Raw genomic sequence first — 14,664 nt, 5'->3', positions numbered from 1 at the left:
CTGGCTAATTTTTGCATTTTTTTGTAGAGATGGAGTTTCATTCACCATGTTGCCCAGGCTGGTCTTGAACTCCCGAGCTCAAGCGATCTGCCCTCCTGGGCCTCCCAAAGTGCTGGGATTACAGGCGTGAGCCACCATGCCCTGCCAGTTCTTTGTTTAAGGGATTCAGAATCAAGGCAAATAGGGAAAACTTATAGCCAGATGCGGCCACCTATAATACTCTACCTATTCTCTGTCTCCAGTTCATTCTTGCGTAGATTTGCATCATCTAGAAGGCTCTGCAATAAGGCTATTTTTTCATTGTCCGAACCTTCTTGGTTAAGCTTTAACATCTTATTCTCATGCTGAAGACGAATAAGTTTCTCCCTGAATGAACAAAATAAAAACTAAATATTATATACACAGTCATTTGGTGCATTAATATACAACACAGGTATCAAATCCAGCTAAGCACTCTTACAAATTTAATACCAGAACAGAAATGAAAAATAAAGAACCTGCAACAAATTCAGCTATTATAGCTGGTAAAGACATTACATTTCAGGTTTTAAATATTTTCTTTATAGAAATAATACAGTCTCTAAATATCATGATTTGTCATAAATATGATTTCAAAATCCTATTTCTTCCCTGATTTAAATATTTAAACTATGAATGCATTTATTTATTTATCTGATTCTTATCAGAGAACATAATCTCTAATGATGCTATGATCTTAAATTATCAATCATTTGGTGGCAAGATACTATATTTGACAAGAATCACTTCAAGACATTCAGTCTACCCATTCCTGAAATATGTAAAATTAAATTCTTGAAACAAGCCAGATCATTACAATCAGGTTACTGGACTGCACTGTTTTGGACTCTGTATAAGCCAAAAACTTACATTAAGGGATATTAAAAACAGTATCCATACAGAACTTGCCACCATATTTACTGCAGGGACAATATAATTAAATGTTAGTTCATATGAAGACATACTTGTTGAAGATATAATTCATTCTTTTCTTTACACAGGGTCATCTTTAGAGGGCCCCATGAAGATAGTATGAACAGATACCAAACACTATGAAAAGCTGTGGAAAAGCTTCTTGTGGATAAAGAAAAATCAAAGAAAGAAAGAAACATAGACACACACGCATTGCTCTTATTTTGTAAACACAATAAATCTTTTACTTTTGCTACTGAAAAGATGAACCAAATCTGTGATCTAATTCAAGCAACTATTTAGAATTTGATGTATTTTATTATGGGCAACATGGACTTTTTTTTTTTTTTGAGACGGGGTCTCTGTCACCCAGGCTGAAGTGCAGTGGTACGATCTCAGCTCACTGCCACCTCCACCTCCTGGGTTCAAGCAATTCTTCTGCCTCAGTATGGGCAACATGGACCGTATATTTTTCAGTTACAAAGTAAACACATACATTGTACGGAAAAGAAGACAAATGAAAAGAAAATATAAACCCTCCATAACTATAGCACAAAATGACTACTGCTGAAATATAGCCTTCTAATTCTATGCACGTATACTCACATGCAAACATTTTTCAAATGGGATCACACAGTACATGTACATTGGTACCTGCTATTTACACCTAAAATTTCACAATCTTTTTATATCATTAAATATACTTGAATATTTTAAATGACATGACATTAAAATCGTTACTTATTTAATAAACCCCCAATTATTGGGCATTTAGATTGCTGCCAATTTTGAGCTTTAACAAGTCAATAAGATTAGCTTTATAAATATACTTCTCTGTATATCCTTGGTTTTCCTTAGGATTAAACTCCCAGAAAAGTAATTTTTGGATCAAAAGATAGGTGCATTTTTAGACAACAGACACATCCTGCCAGTCTCCCCAAAAGAAAGGTTGTACCACTTTAATCTTTTCCCTTCAGTTTATGAGATCTCCAATTTGTCCACACTCTTAACATCAATGAAAAGTATCAAATATTAACCCACTGTCTAAAACATGTTGCAAAATTTTCGTCCCAGTTTATCATTTTTCCTTGATAGCTCTCTTCTGGACACAGAGCATATTTTAATCCGTATCTAGTCATACTCAGAAAAGCCATATTTGCTGAATCTTTATCATCATTGTTCTTTTTTTTCAGACAGAATCTAGCTGTCGCCCAGGCTGGAGGACTGTGGCGCAATCTAGGCTCACTGCAACCCTGCCTCCTGGGTTCAAATGATTCTCGTGCCTCAGTTTCCTGAGTAGCTGGGATTACAGGCGTGTGCTAGCACACCCAGCTAATTTTTTTGTATTTTTAGCAGTGACAGGGTTTTGCCATGTTGGCCAGGATGGTCTTGAACTCCTGGCCTCAAGTGATCCGCCTGCCTTGGCCTCCCGAAGCGCTGGCATTTTGGATGTGAGCCACCACACCTGGCCTATCATTGTTCTTAGTTTAAAAAACCAACTGTATTACCAATAAGTTTCCTTAAAAATTGTGAGTTGTTTTGGACATAACCACTTATTTATAAATGTTCATAAATACGTGTTCATTTATTCAACAAATCTTATTGGTTCAATTATAAAGTAGCATATCAGATGGCAGAAAAGAAAAAGGTACACAAAATACTTCCAGATTTGGTGCTGCCTTAACACGCCTTTTGTTTGTACTTCTTATTTTTTTTTTTTTTGAGATGGAGTTTCACTCTTGTTGCCCAGACTGGAGTGCAATGGCGCGATCTCGGCTCACCGCAACCTCTGCCTCCTGGGTTCAAGTGATTCTCCTACCTCACCCTCCCGAGTAGCTGGGATTACCGGCATGCATCACCAAGCCCAGTTAATTTTGTACTTTTTAGTAGAGACAGGGTTTCGCCATGTTGGTCAGGCTGGTCTTGAACTCCTGACCTCAGGTGATCCACCCACTTTGGCCTCCCAAAGTGCTAGGATTACAGGAGTGAGCCACCGTGCCCAGCCCATTTGTCCTTCTTAAACAAATGCTAACCAACAACTACAAATTGTTTCCATTTATGCAAAAAATATTTGAATGCTTATTTCAACTTTTACAGTGTATGAAACCCTTACACAATTGTTATTTAATATCCACCAAGGAGTTTATGAAGAAGCAAGGCCAGTGTCCATTTTGAAAAGGGGCAAATAGGCCCCAAAAAGGTAAAAAGCAATATTCAGAATTAATCAGTCTCCTTTTAATGGACAATTGGTGTCTCCCCCACTTATTTTTCATTTTTACACATAAAGCTAGTTATGCATAAAAATAAATGAAACTGGCTGGGTGCGGCGGCTTACACCTGTAATCCCAGCACTTTGGGAGGGCAAGGCAGGCAGATCACTTCAGCTCAAGGAGTTCAAGACCAGCCTGGGAAACATGGCAAAACCCAGTCTCTACAAAAAATAGCCAGGCGTGGTGGCACGCGCCTGAGATCCCAACTACTAAGCAGGCTGAGGTAGGAGGATTGCTTGAGCCCAGAAGGTCAAGGCTGCAGTGAGCCGTGACTGTGCCACTGCACTCCAGCCTGGGTGACAGAGCAAGACCTTGCCTCTAAATAAATAAATAAATGGAATTTTTAAAATGCTATGATTAAAAATATAAGGTATGATTGAGGGAAGAATAGTTAAGATGGGGAGTCATTTCCTCCTGTCTATAGCATTATTATCTTTCCCAGACCTTTCCGTGTGGTTAGCAGATAAACCTTTTTTTTTTTTTTTTTGAGACAGAGTCTCACTCTGTCCCCCAGGCTGGAGTGCAGTGGCGCAACTTCAGCTCACTGCAAGCTACGCCTCCTGAGTTCACACCATTCTCCCGCCTCAGCCTCCCGAGTAGCTGGGACTACAGGCACCCGCCACCACACATGGCTAATTTTTTGTATTTTTTGTAGAGACAGGGTTTCACCGTGTTAGCTAGGATGGTCTCGATCTCCTGACCTTGTGATCCACCCGCCTCAGCCTCACAAAGTGCTGGGATTGCAGGCGTGAGCCACCAAGCCCAGCTGGTTAGCAGATAAATCTTAATAACTAATAATTTTGCATGCTTATAGCTAAGCATAACTATTGTCTACAGGCCAAATGTATTCATTGCTTAATGTCTGCTGAGGATACTCAAGCTTTGGACATAACAATTGGCTTTATATGTGTGAAAGATTGTCTTATTGAAGTGAGCAAATCAATTTTCCGTAGGCCAGTGGAAGAAAGCTTTTAACATGTTGAAAACATAAAAATTTAACACTGAGTTCATGTTGAAAGTGTCGGTGAGAAAGAATAAGGAAATTATCTTCTTCATATTGTAGAGAAGTACGTTTTCTCCAAGAATACTGTGCAGTGTAAGTGTGAACACCACAATCTCCTTACCTGATTTCAGGTGTAACAATCTCTGCAGCTAGACTGTCTGAAGACTCCTGACTTCCAAGAGGCATTAACCCTGTAAATATACAAACATAAATATAAGGCTAATGGAAAACACAGTTACACAACTTTCGATATGAAACCCTACTTTGAGCATTAATTTTAACAGCAAAAATCATTTTCAAGTAAAGGACCACGTCACAGTGGTCTTAAAATATTATTAAGTATTATTATTTTACCATTTTAAGCATTTTTAAGTGTGCAACAGAATGGCATTCAGTATATTCACAATGTTGTGTAACCATCACTACTACCTATTTTCAAAACTTTTTCATCATCCAAATCACAAACTCTGTAACCAATTCCCTATGCCTCCCTCCCCTATCCCCTGGTAACCTCTATTCTATTCTACCTTTTTTCTTTTTTTTTTTCTTTTTTTTTTTTTTTTAAGACAGAGTCTCACTCTGTTGCCCAGGCTGGAATGCAATGGCACGATCTTGGCTCACTGCAACCTCTGCCTCCTGGGGTCAGGCAATTCTTTTGTCTCAGCCTCCCAAGTAGCTGGGATTACAGGCGCCCGCCACCACGCCCAGCTAATTTTTTGTATTTTTAGAAGAGATGGGGTTTCACCACATTGGCCAGGCTGGTCTTGAACTCCTGACTTCAGGTGATCCTCCCACCTCAGCCTCCCAAAGTGCTGGGATTACAGGCGTGAGCCACTGTGCCCAGCCTTACTTTTTAAATGTAAAGATGTAACATACATATTTCTCTCTGTCAGGTTTATAGAAAATATTCCTTATTCTTTTTTTTTTTTTTTTTGAGACAGAGTCTCACTCTGTCGCCCAGGCTGGAGTGTAGTGGTATGATCTTGGCTCACTGCAACCTCTGTCTCCTGGGTTCAAGCAATTCTCCTACCTCAGCCTGCTGAGTAGCTGGGATTACAGGTGCCCACCACCACGCCCAGCTAATTTTTGCATTTGTAGTAGAGATGGGGTTTCACCATGTTGGCCAGGCTGGTCTCAAACTCCTGACCTAAGGCGATCTGCCCGCCTCAGCCTCCCAAAGTGCTGGGATTAAAGGCGTGAGCCACCACACCTGGCCACCTTATTCTTTTAAATGGCTCTACTGTATACAGTTGAATAAGAATACTATTCCTGTATTGCTGAACTTTCACACTGTTTCAAAATCTCACTAGTAGAAACAATGCTTTAATTCATTAGGGTAAATTTAATTCCTAGAGCAAAAGTGCTAGGTCAAAGGATACATACACAAGAAAGGTGTCCTAGTCCTTTTTCTGTTGCTTATAACAGAATAACTGAAACTCAGTAATTTATAAGAAACACTATTTTTGGCTGGGTGTGGTGGCTCATGCCTGTAACCCCAGCACTTTGGGAGGCCGAGGTGGGCGGATCGATTGAGCTCAGGAGCTCGAGACCAGCCTGAACAACAAGGTGAAACCCCATCTCCACCAAAAATACAAAAAATTAGCCAGGCATGGTGATGCATGCCTGTACTCCCAGCTACTTGGGAGGCTGAGGTGGGAGGATCACTTGAGCCCAGGAGGCAGAGGCTGCAGTGAGTTGAGATCGTGCCACTGCACTCCAGCCTGGGTAAAGGAGTGAGACCTCATCTCAAAAAAAAAAAAAAAATTATTATTTACAATTCTAGAGGCAGAGAAGTCCAAGACTGAAGGGGCACATCTGGTAAGAGCCTGCCTGCTGGTGGGGACTCTCTGCAGAGTCCCGAGGCAACACAGGGCATCACATGATGAAGGGGTTGAGCATGCTCACTTGTTCGCTCAGGTCTCTTTTTCTTTTTATTGAGGAGTTTCACTCTTGTCACCCAGGCTGGAGTGCAGTGGCGCGATCTCGGCTCACTGCAACCTCCTCCTCTCAGGTTCAAGTGATTCTCCTGCCTCAGCCTCCCCAGTAGCTGGGATTACAGGCACCCGTCTCCACACCCAGATAGTTCTTGTAATTTTAGTAGAGACGGGTTTTCACCATGTCAGCCAGGATGGTCTCCTGACCTCAGGTGATCCACCCGCCTTGGGACTTTCAAAGTGCTGGGATTACAGGTGTGAGCCACTGCACCAGGCCCTCTTTTTCTTATAAAGCCACCAGTCCCACTCCCATGATGACCATTACTCCATTAACATATTAATCCATGGATGGATTAATCCATCCCTGAGGGCAGAGTCCTCATGCTTTAATCACCTCTTGAAGGCCTCACCTCTCAAAACTACCACATTGGGTATTAACTTTCAACATGAGTTTCAGAGGGGACATTCAAACTATAGCGGCAAGGTTAAAACCTATAGGTTTACAGGTGCAAAGAAACAAATGTGATAGTTTACGTGAAAGGCCTTATGGTTTCTTGATGATATCAGAGCTGAGAGAAAAAGGGTTAAATTTCAGGTTAGATTCTTAAAATTGTATAAAAACTCATGTAGAGGTCGGGTGCAGTGGCTCACACCTGTAATCCCAGCACTTTGGGAGGCCGAGCCAGGTGGATCACCTGAGGTCAGGAGTTCAAGACCAGCTGGCCAACATGGTCTCTACTAAAAATACAAAAAATTAGCCGGGCATGGTGGCAGGCGCCTGTAATTCCAGCTACTCTGGAGGCTGAGGCAGGAGATCACTTGAACCTGGGAGGTGGAGGTTGCAGTGAGCAGAGATCGCACCATTGCGCTCCAGCCTGGGCAAAAAGAGCAAAACTCCATCTCAAAAAAAAAAAAAAAGAAAAGAAAAAGAAAAAACAAAACTCATGTAGAGATGATTAGAGATATGTGAAAGAACAGCAAGGCAGCAATGAGGATGCTGTTATAATCACAAACGATATATTTTTGGTGAAAACAAGAAAGATATATAATAATTTCCTTCAGTCGTCCTTGGTAATCTGGAATAGGGAAAAAAAATTAGGATATTTCAATTAGGGTTTGACAAGCTTGGTCTAGAAACGGTAAAGAGAATAACGAAGGAGAGTGGTGGTGAGAACAAAGTGAAAATGGTTTCTGTGCAGCTGGGTAAACTAGAAAATGAAGCAAGAAGAGAGCTGATTAATAAGAAAACAGAGAGAGGGCTAGGAGGTGAAATGAAGGAGAGGAGCAGGGAAAAAAGAATGTTGTAGTCAGAGGAAAAGAAAAATTCCAGTTTCAGGTAACTGAAAAGCCACAAGCTGGTTACTAGTCTGGGAGTGAACTGTGAAGCCAAACAAGCAATCCATCAGCCTCCACCATCCCCAGCTGATAACAAAGGAGTGGGAGGGGTAAACCTTGAGCGAAGTGTGGTTCTTTTCCTAGGAGAAAGAGCAGTTTTCTCCTTAGGATCTAAGTTCCTTAATGGAGTGACACCAACCCAACTTTTCTCAGTTGAAAAAAATTCACTGCTTTAGGAAGTCTGATGTACTTAAAAGAAAAGGATCATTTCCTTTTAGAGACAGGGTATCGCTCGGTCACCTATGCTGGAGTGAACCGGCACAATTTTGGCTCACTGTAACCTCAAACTCCTGGGCTCAAGTGATCCTCCCATCTGAGCCTTCCAAGTAGCTGGGACTACAGGCATGAGCCACTGCACCCAGCCATTATTTTTATTTTTATAATATATATTTAGAGACAGATGGAGTCTCAATGTGTTGGCCAGGCTAAACTCAAGCTCCTGGACTCAAGAAATCTTCCTTCCTTGGCCTCCCAAAGTGCTAGGATGACAGGCAAGAGCCACCATGCCTGGCCCATATCCTATTTAATCTTTGAAATAATTGTGTTAAGTGTGCAACACTAAATTACCTGCCACTAGGTATGAGCTTAGATCACCAGGAAAACTAGGTCACTCTAATCTGTCAAGAGAAAATGGTTATCTGGCTGGGCGCGGTAGCACATGCCTGTAATCCCAGCACTTTGGGAGGCCATGGTGGGCAGATCACCTGAGGCCAGGAGTTCAAGATCAGCCTGGCCAACATGATGAAACCCCTTCTCTATCAAAAATACAAGAAGTGACTGTGTGTGGTGGCTCATGGCTGTAATCCCAGCACTTTGGGAAGCCGAGGTGGGTGGATCACCTGAGGTCAGGAGTTCGAAACCAGCCTGGCCAACATGGTGAAACCCTGTTTCTACTAAAAAAAATACAAAAACTAGCCGGGTGTGGTGGCAGGTGCCTGTAATCCCAGGTACTCAGGAGGCTAAGGCAGGAGAATCGCTTGAAACCGAGAGGCGGAGGTTACACTGAGCTTAGATAGCGCCATTGCACTCCAGCCTGGGGGACAAGAGTGAGACTTCATCTGAAAAAAAAAAAAAAAAATTAGCCAGGCATGGTGGTAGGCACCTGTAATCCCAGCTACTCAGGAGGCTGAGGCAAGAGAATCACTTGAACCCGGTAGGCAGAGGTTGCAGCAAGGCCGAGATCATGCCATTGCACTCCAGCCTGAGTGACAAGAGCGAAACTCCATCTCAAAAAAAGAAAATGGTTATCTGATATCTTCTTAAGAAAGAATATCAGAGTATTACAGCCAACATAGGAAAAAACACAACTTTTTCTATATTACATTTAATACTGTTTTCATTTAAAATTACATATTGCGGAGTGCTTTGCATTTAAGACCATCTAAAACTCTTCATCTGGCTCTGGAGAAATAAGTTATGATTCTCATTTCGCAGAACAAACCAAGTCTTGGACAGTTTAGTTACTAGCTCGAGCTGCACAGCTAGTTAGCAGCAGAGCCCATTATGATGGTATTCAATGTTTATGATAGTACACACCAGTTTTCTTTTTAAAGTTGTGAATCTTTTTGGGCCTTCTTTAATGGTTAAGTGTTTTTGTTTTTTGTTTGTTTTTTCTTTTTTTGGAGACAGAGTCTCACTCTGTCGCCCAGGCTGCAGTGCAGTGGTGCTATTTCAGCTCACTGTGGCATCCACCTCCCGAGTTCAAGCAATTTTTGTGCCTTAGCCTCTCGAGTAGCTAGGATTACAGGCACGCACCACCATGCCTGGCTAATTTTTCTATTTTTAGTAGAGGCGGAGTTTTGCTATGTTGGCCAGGCTGGTCTCCGACTCCTGGCCTCAAGTGATCTGCCTGCCTTGGCCTCCCAAAATGCTGGGACCACAGGTGTGAGCCACTGTGCCCAGCCTAATGGTTAAGTGTTTTAATCAAATAAAGCATACGATAAAGTTAACCTAAATATGTTTTGGGGTATCTCCATACATCTTTTTTTTTCCTCTTAGTGATTGAAAGTTTGAATTATATGGAATCATCAGCCCACCTAAATGATTGAGCTTTGGGTCTTTTTGGGTCAACCAAGGGAAAGTGAGAAGGAAGTCAAGCAAGCCAAGAAACTACTCTCACACCCTTCTGTGGTTGGTTGTATTTGCAAGACAGGGAGTCCCCAGGTGTCTTCACTTTTTGATCCTTAGCATGGTTCCCATTTTAGAAGCTGAGGTCCCAGACTCCTTTCTGCTTATATAAGAGGTGTCAGGCAAGAGTGTTATTTAAGAAAATTTTTTCTGTAAGTCATTTCATTAATACTTCTTGAGGACTGTATGATCTCACACTGGTAATAAAGGGGATGACAGAAAGGTGAGATATAAATATGTTCTCCCAACATGCAAAGTGAGGAAATGAATTTTACTTTACATCTGCCTCCATTATCCTATGCCAGAGGGCCTAAAATATTGATGTGCACAAGAAACATCTGGGGCACTATTTTAAAATTCACCTTTCTGAGCCATGTCCCCAGAGTCCCTGATTTGTAGGCATGAGTGGACCTGGGAATCTGCATCCCAGGTGATTCTAACACTATTCACCATGCAGTAAGAAACACCATTCTTTCTTTGTTTTGTCCCTAGGCTGGAGTGCAGTGGCGCGATCTCAGCTCACTGCAAGCTCTGCCTCCCGGGTTCACGCCATTCTCATGCCTCAGCCTCCTGAGTAGCTGGGACTATAGGCACCCGCCACCATGCCCGGCTAATTTTTTGTATTTTTAGTAGAGACGGGGTTTCACCGTGTTAGCCAGGATGGTCTCGATCTCCTGACCTTGTGATCCACCTGCCTCGGCCTCCCAAAGTGCTGAGATTACAGGCATGAGCCACTGTGCCTGGCCAAGAAACACCATTCTTATACAAACTTGATGAGGTTTAAAAAACTCAAATTGCAATTAAGTCTTTGTTTCTGTCATCCTTACCAAATTGTCCTATTACTAAATTGGCCCTTTTCTTTTCCTTTTTGTTGTCCAGGCTGGAATGCAGTAGTGCGACCTCAGCTCACTGGAGCCTCTGCCTCCCAGGCTCAAGTCATCCTTCTGCCTTAGTCTCCTGAGTAGTTGGGCCCACAGGCACACACCACCATACCCAGCTAATTTTTAAATTTTTTTTGTTGGGGTGGGGTGTCTTGCTATGTTGCCCAGGCTGCTCTTGAACTTGTGAACTCAAGCCCTCTGTCCACCTCAGCCTCCCCAAGGGTTAGATTACAGGCATGACCACCATGCCTGGCCTAAATTTGCCCTTTTCTACCAAACACTGACAGCCCCTAACCTGAATAGCACTGTTGGGTCTAGGCTTAAATTGTCTGCCCAAAGCAATTTACAACAAAGTAGGAATTAGACTTAAATCACCTCTTATGGCACTTGGATTAAAAAATATATATACATATATATACACACACACACACACACACACATATATATATACACACACACATCTACATCTACATCTTGGCTGGGCGCGGTGGCTCACGCCTGTAATCTCAGCACTGTGGGAGGCCGAGGTGGGCAGATCACATGGTCAGGAGATTGAGACCATCCTGGCTAACACGGTGAAACCCTGTCTCTACTAAAAATACAAAAAATTAGCCGGGCGTGGTGGCACACCCCTGTAGTCCCAGCTACTAGGGAGGCTGTGGCAGGAGTATCGCTTGAACCTGGGAGGCGGAGGTTGCACTGAGCCAAGATCTCGCCACTGCACTCCAGCCTGGGTGACAGAGCGAGACTCCGTCTCAACATATGTATCTATCTTAAGGTAAGTATTAGAATACCTCTATTACACTACTTTTGTTTCTCCTTTGGAGAAATTAGCACGGCAGCGTCATCTAATTCGATAGCTGGAGAAGTCACGTCCACTTTTTTCATGGGCTTGATAAAGCCCTATCATTCCTTCTTGACTCATCCCGTGTCTTTGGGAAGCCTTTCTGGGTAAATCTATCCACAAGGAAGATCCTTTACGTCACTACCAGCCCTTGCACACGTTTCAATTATAGCACCTATCATCTTGTACCACGTTGCCTAATTTATTTTTGTATCTCCAGCTCTACTAATAGACACAGTGCCTGGCAAACAGCAGGTGCTCAGTAACTGCGGGATGAATGAGGCCATGGCAAGAGACTAGGCCGGGAGTTTTAAAAATCAATGCTGACTGAGAAATGAAGTACGGAAATGTCAAGGGCTGGAATAAAAATAATCCCTAACAGCACAGAATCCTCCTTAAGGGAACACAGGTCAGGCAGGTGTCCCAGCCCGGCGGCGCTGAGGGCTTGGTGGTGTTTTCATTGTTAGGAAACAGGCGGGCTCTCTCCTCCCCGCAACCCCTCAAGAGCCTGGCCTCCCAGGTTCCCGCTCCTGGGTGCGCCCCACCCGTAGCCGCCTCTCCCCAGCCCGCTGCTTGTCCACCCCAGAGCCACCCCTTCCCGTCGCTACGCCAAGGAGGGGAGTTCATATCCTCTAGTGAGGGCCTAGGAGGCCTTTCTTGGCCAATCAGTAGCCAGGCCCTGCAATTCAGGAGGGACTCGGCATCCACACAGACAGCTGGACTGCCAGGCGATTCCTTAGGGTTCTTGTTTTACCCACGGCTTAGAGGTCAAAAATAAGGGGGCACGGTCCTCTCAGAATGGAAGGGAGCCGCAGAGACTGTCTGGGTTTGGCCATTTTCTAAGACGAACTGCTTTTCAGATTCCTCTTCCCCTTTTTGCGCATTCATCTTAAAAAGGCAGGTGTGACTAATTTGGAAATTGGCTCAGTGACTAAGGGTTCGGACCACCATCTGGACCAATAAGAAAAGGCAATCGCTGGAGCCCGGGCTTTGCGAGGAGGAGCGCACGTGGGCCCAATGTTTCATTTTTATCTATCAGCACAATCATGTTCAAGTGAACCAAATAGTTTTATTTATACTACTAGAAATAAATCATCTGGCTGGGCGTGGTGGCTCACGCCTATAATCCCAGCACTTTGGGAGCCAAGGCGGGTGGGATTACCTGAGGTCAGGAGTTCCAGACCAGCCTGGCCAACATGGTGAAACCCCATCTCTACTAAAAATACAAAAATTAGCTGGGCGTGGTGGTGTGGCTGTAATCCCAACTACTTGGGAGGCTGAGGCAGGAGAATCGCTTGAATCCAGGAGGCAGAGGTTCCAGGAGGCAGAGGTTGCAGTGAGCCAAGACAGTGCCATTGCACTCCAGCCTGGGCAATAAGAGTGAAACTCCCGTCTCAAAAAAAAAAGAAATCATCTGGTTTGTACTCGCAAAACGTTTTTACCTTGTGTTGTGAGCTGCCCTTCTTGAGCTTGTACACAACGAAGCTCTTCAATGGTTTCCTTCAGAGAATCCCTTTCTGTTCTCAGCCTCTGGAGAGACACAAAAACATGGAGGGTTAGCTTCACGTTTTAAGAATTTATTCATCAGTGGCCTCTGCCTTACCTAATAGAATGATAAACAATAGTGAACATGAACATGTTTTACCTTTTGCTTTTCTATGGAAAGATCATAGAAGGAGGAAAAGATTAAAACAATTTTTCCCATTTAACAATACTGAATATCTACTATGTGCAGGGCAATATGCTATCCATAGTTAAACAAAACTGTCTACTCCATCTTTAACAATTAGTAACTAATTTCTTAACATTCTTTTCACTAGACATAAAACATTGGAGAACAAAGACAATAAATATTCATAAATCATGAAAAAGTAGAAATATTTTTAAAAGATTTGAAATATGCTGAACAACAAAAAGTCCTCTATTAATCATACAGAAAACAAGAAAGCTACACAAACTTATAGAAAGTCATGAGCAGAACAACGTAAAGGAGGCAACAGTGGTAGAAAAGATAACTATATAAAAAAGAAATCTGAATGGAAGTATTATAAAAATATTCTTTCCACTTTTTTGCCTTATTTCTGAAACACAAATGGAATTCTCCTACAGCTTAAAAATAAATAGGATTTCTAATTTTTAAATTCATAACTTAAATGAATGTGGCCAAACATGAATTAAACATAATCGCCTTAATTTTAGCAGTGCTCAAAACCAAAATGCCTAATATATATACTCACGTCCTTTTCTTTTTGAAGACTGTCAACTTTTTCTTTTAGCCGCTTATATTCAAAATCTAGTTTATCTGCTTTCTTTGATTCTTCGGATAATCTGTTTTGTAGTTCTACTACCTGATACAGAAAGATACCATTACTTATACATAATCTGAGACATTAGAAATTATCCTTATTTTCTTCTACAGGTTTAAGAAAACCAAAATCTCTCCCACCAGTACTCAAATGCATATGATCCAGCAGTCTAACACAGTGGAGAGAACTAGGAATAAAAACCTGCCCGGTTACTATTCGGTCCCAACCAGAATCATCCAGTGTAACAATGTTCAAAATCATAAACGAATCTATAGGATTTTCATTTCTAGCAATAGAGATAACCAGGTAGTCTGAAATTCTTTTTGTATAAAACAAAATAAATGCTGGGGTGGGGCAGGGCGATTCTAATTGCATAGCTAAGCTTACAAGAAAATAAGGGAAATCCTCAGAGATTAAAACCAGAATGAGAAGTTCATGCAGATGCTCTGGGTACCATGAGGTGTCAACTGCCGATAACAGGAACCTAGAGCTTTAAAAGGAGATGAGTGGTTGTTGAACCACCCTGGGCTCTAAAAGGTAGCAAATCAGCAAATAGGTGGATTAGAAAAAAAAATTTCATCAGCTGGAAAAATAAACTGAGTGCTTTGGGATTAAAAAAGCATAACTTGGGGGCTAAGTGCAGTGGCTCACGCCTGTAATCCCAGCACTTTGGGAAGCTGAGGTGGGAGGATGGCTTGAACCCAAAATTTGAGACCAGACAAGGCAGCATAGTGAGACCCAGTCTCTACAATTTAAAAACTAGCTGGGTGTGGTGGCACATGTCATAGTTCCTCAGGAGGCTGAGGTGGGAAGATCACTTGAGCCCAGGAGTTCAAGATTGCAGTGAGCTATGATCATACCATTGCACTCCAGCCTAGGAAACAGAGTGAGATCCTGTCTTTAAAAAAAAAGTAAGAAAGAAAAAAGGGGTAACTTGGAAGTTTGTAATGACAGCCTGTTAATAATACATGGAC

At 42.4% G+C, this 14,664-nt stretch overlaps 1 protein-coding gene across 1 annotated transcript in view, besides 1 other annotated feature; it reads right to left on the bottom strand.

Annotated features, from left to right (window-relative positions):
• Positions 1–14,664, bottom strand: part of HOOK3 (hook microtubule tethering protein 3) — a 133,558-nt gene that overhangs the window by 43,515 nt on the left and 75,379 nt on the right. Inside the window, exons 12-15 of the mRNA NM_032410.4 lie at positions 13,622–13,732; positions 12,827–12,914; positions 4,325–4,394; positions 226–366 (exon numbers count right to left, since the gene is read on the bottom strand). Of these exons, the coding sequence (NP_115786.1) occupies positions 226–366; positions 4,325–4,394; positions 12,827–12,914; positions 13,622–13,732 (410 nt within the window). The remainder of the gene's footprint in view (positions 1–225; positions 367–4,324; positions 4,395–12,826; positions 12,915–13,621; positions 13,733–14,664) is intronic.
• Positions 3,568–3,768: a silencer, noted in NCBI's record as "peak7007 fragment used in MPRA reporter construct". NCBI's record gives its function as "represses an SCP1 promoter by STARR-seq MPRAs in K562 erythroleukemia cells {active_cell/tissue: K562}" and the evidence as "EXISTENCE:reporter gene assay evidence [ECO:0000049][PMID:32103011]".

The sequence above is a fragment of the Homo sapiens genome, chromosome 8 (genome assembly GCF_000001405.40).
Source record: "Homo sapiens chromosome 8, GRCh38.p14 Primary Assembly".
In the NCBI taxonomy this organism is placed as follows: Eukaryota; Metazoa; Chordata; class Mammalia; order Primates; family Hominidae; genus Homo; species Homo sapiens.
Note: the sequence above shows the minus strand (reverse complement) of the source record. Positions and strands in the feature narration are given on the sequence as shown.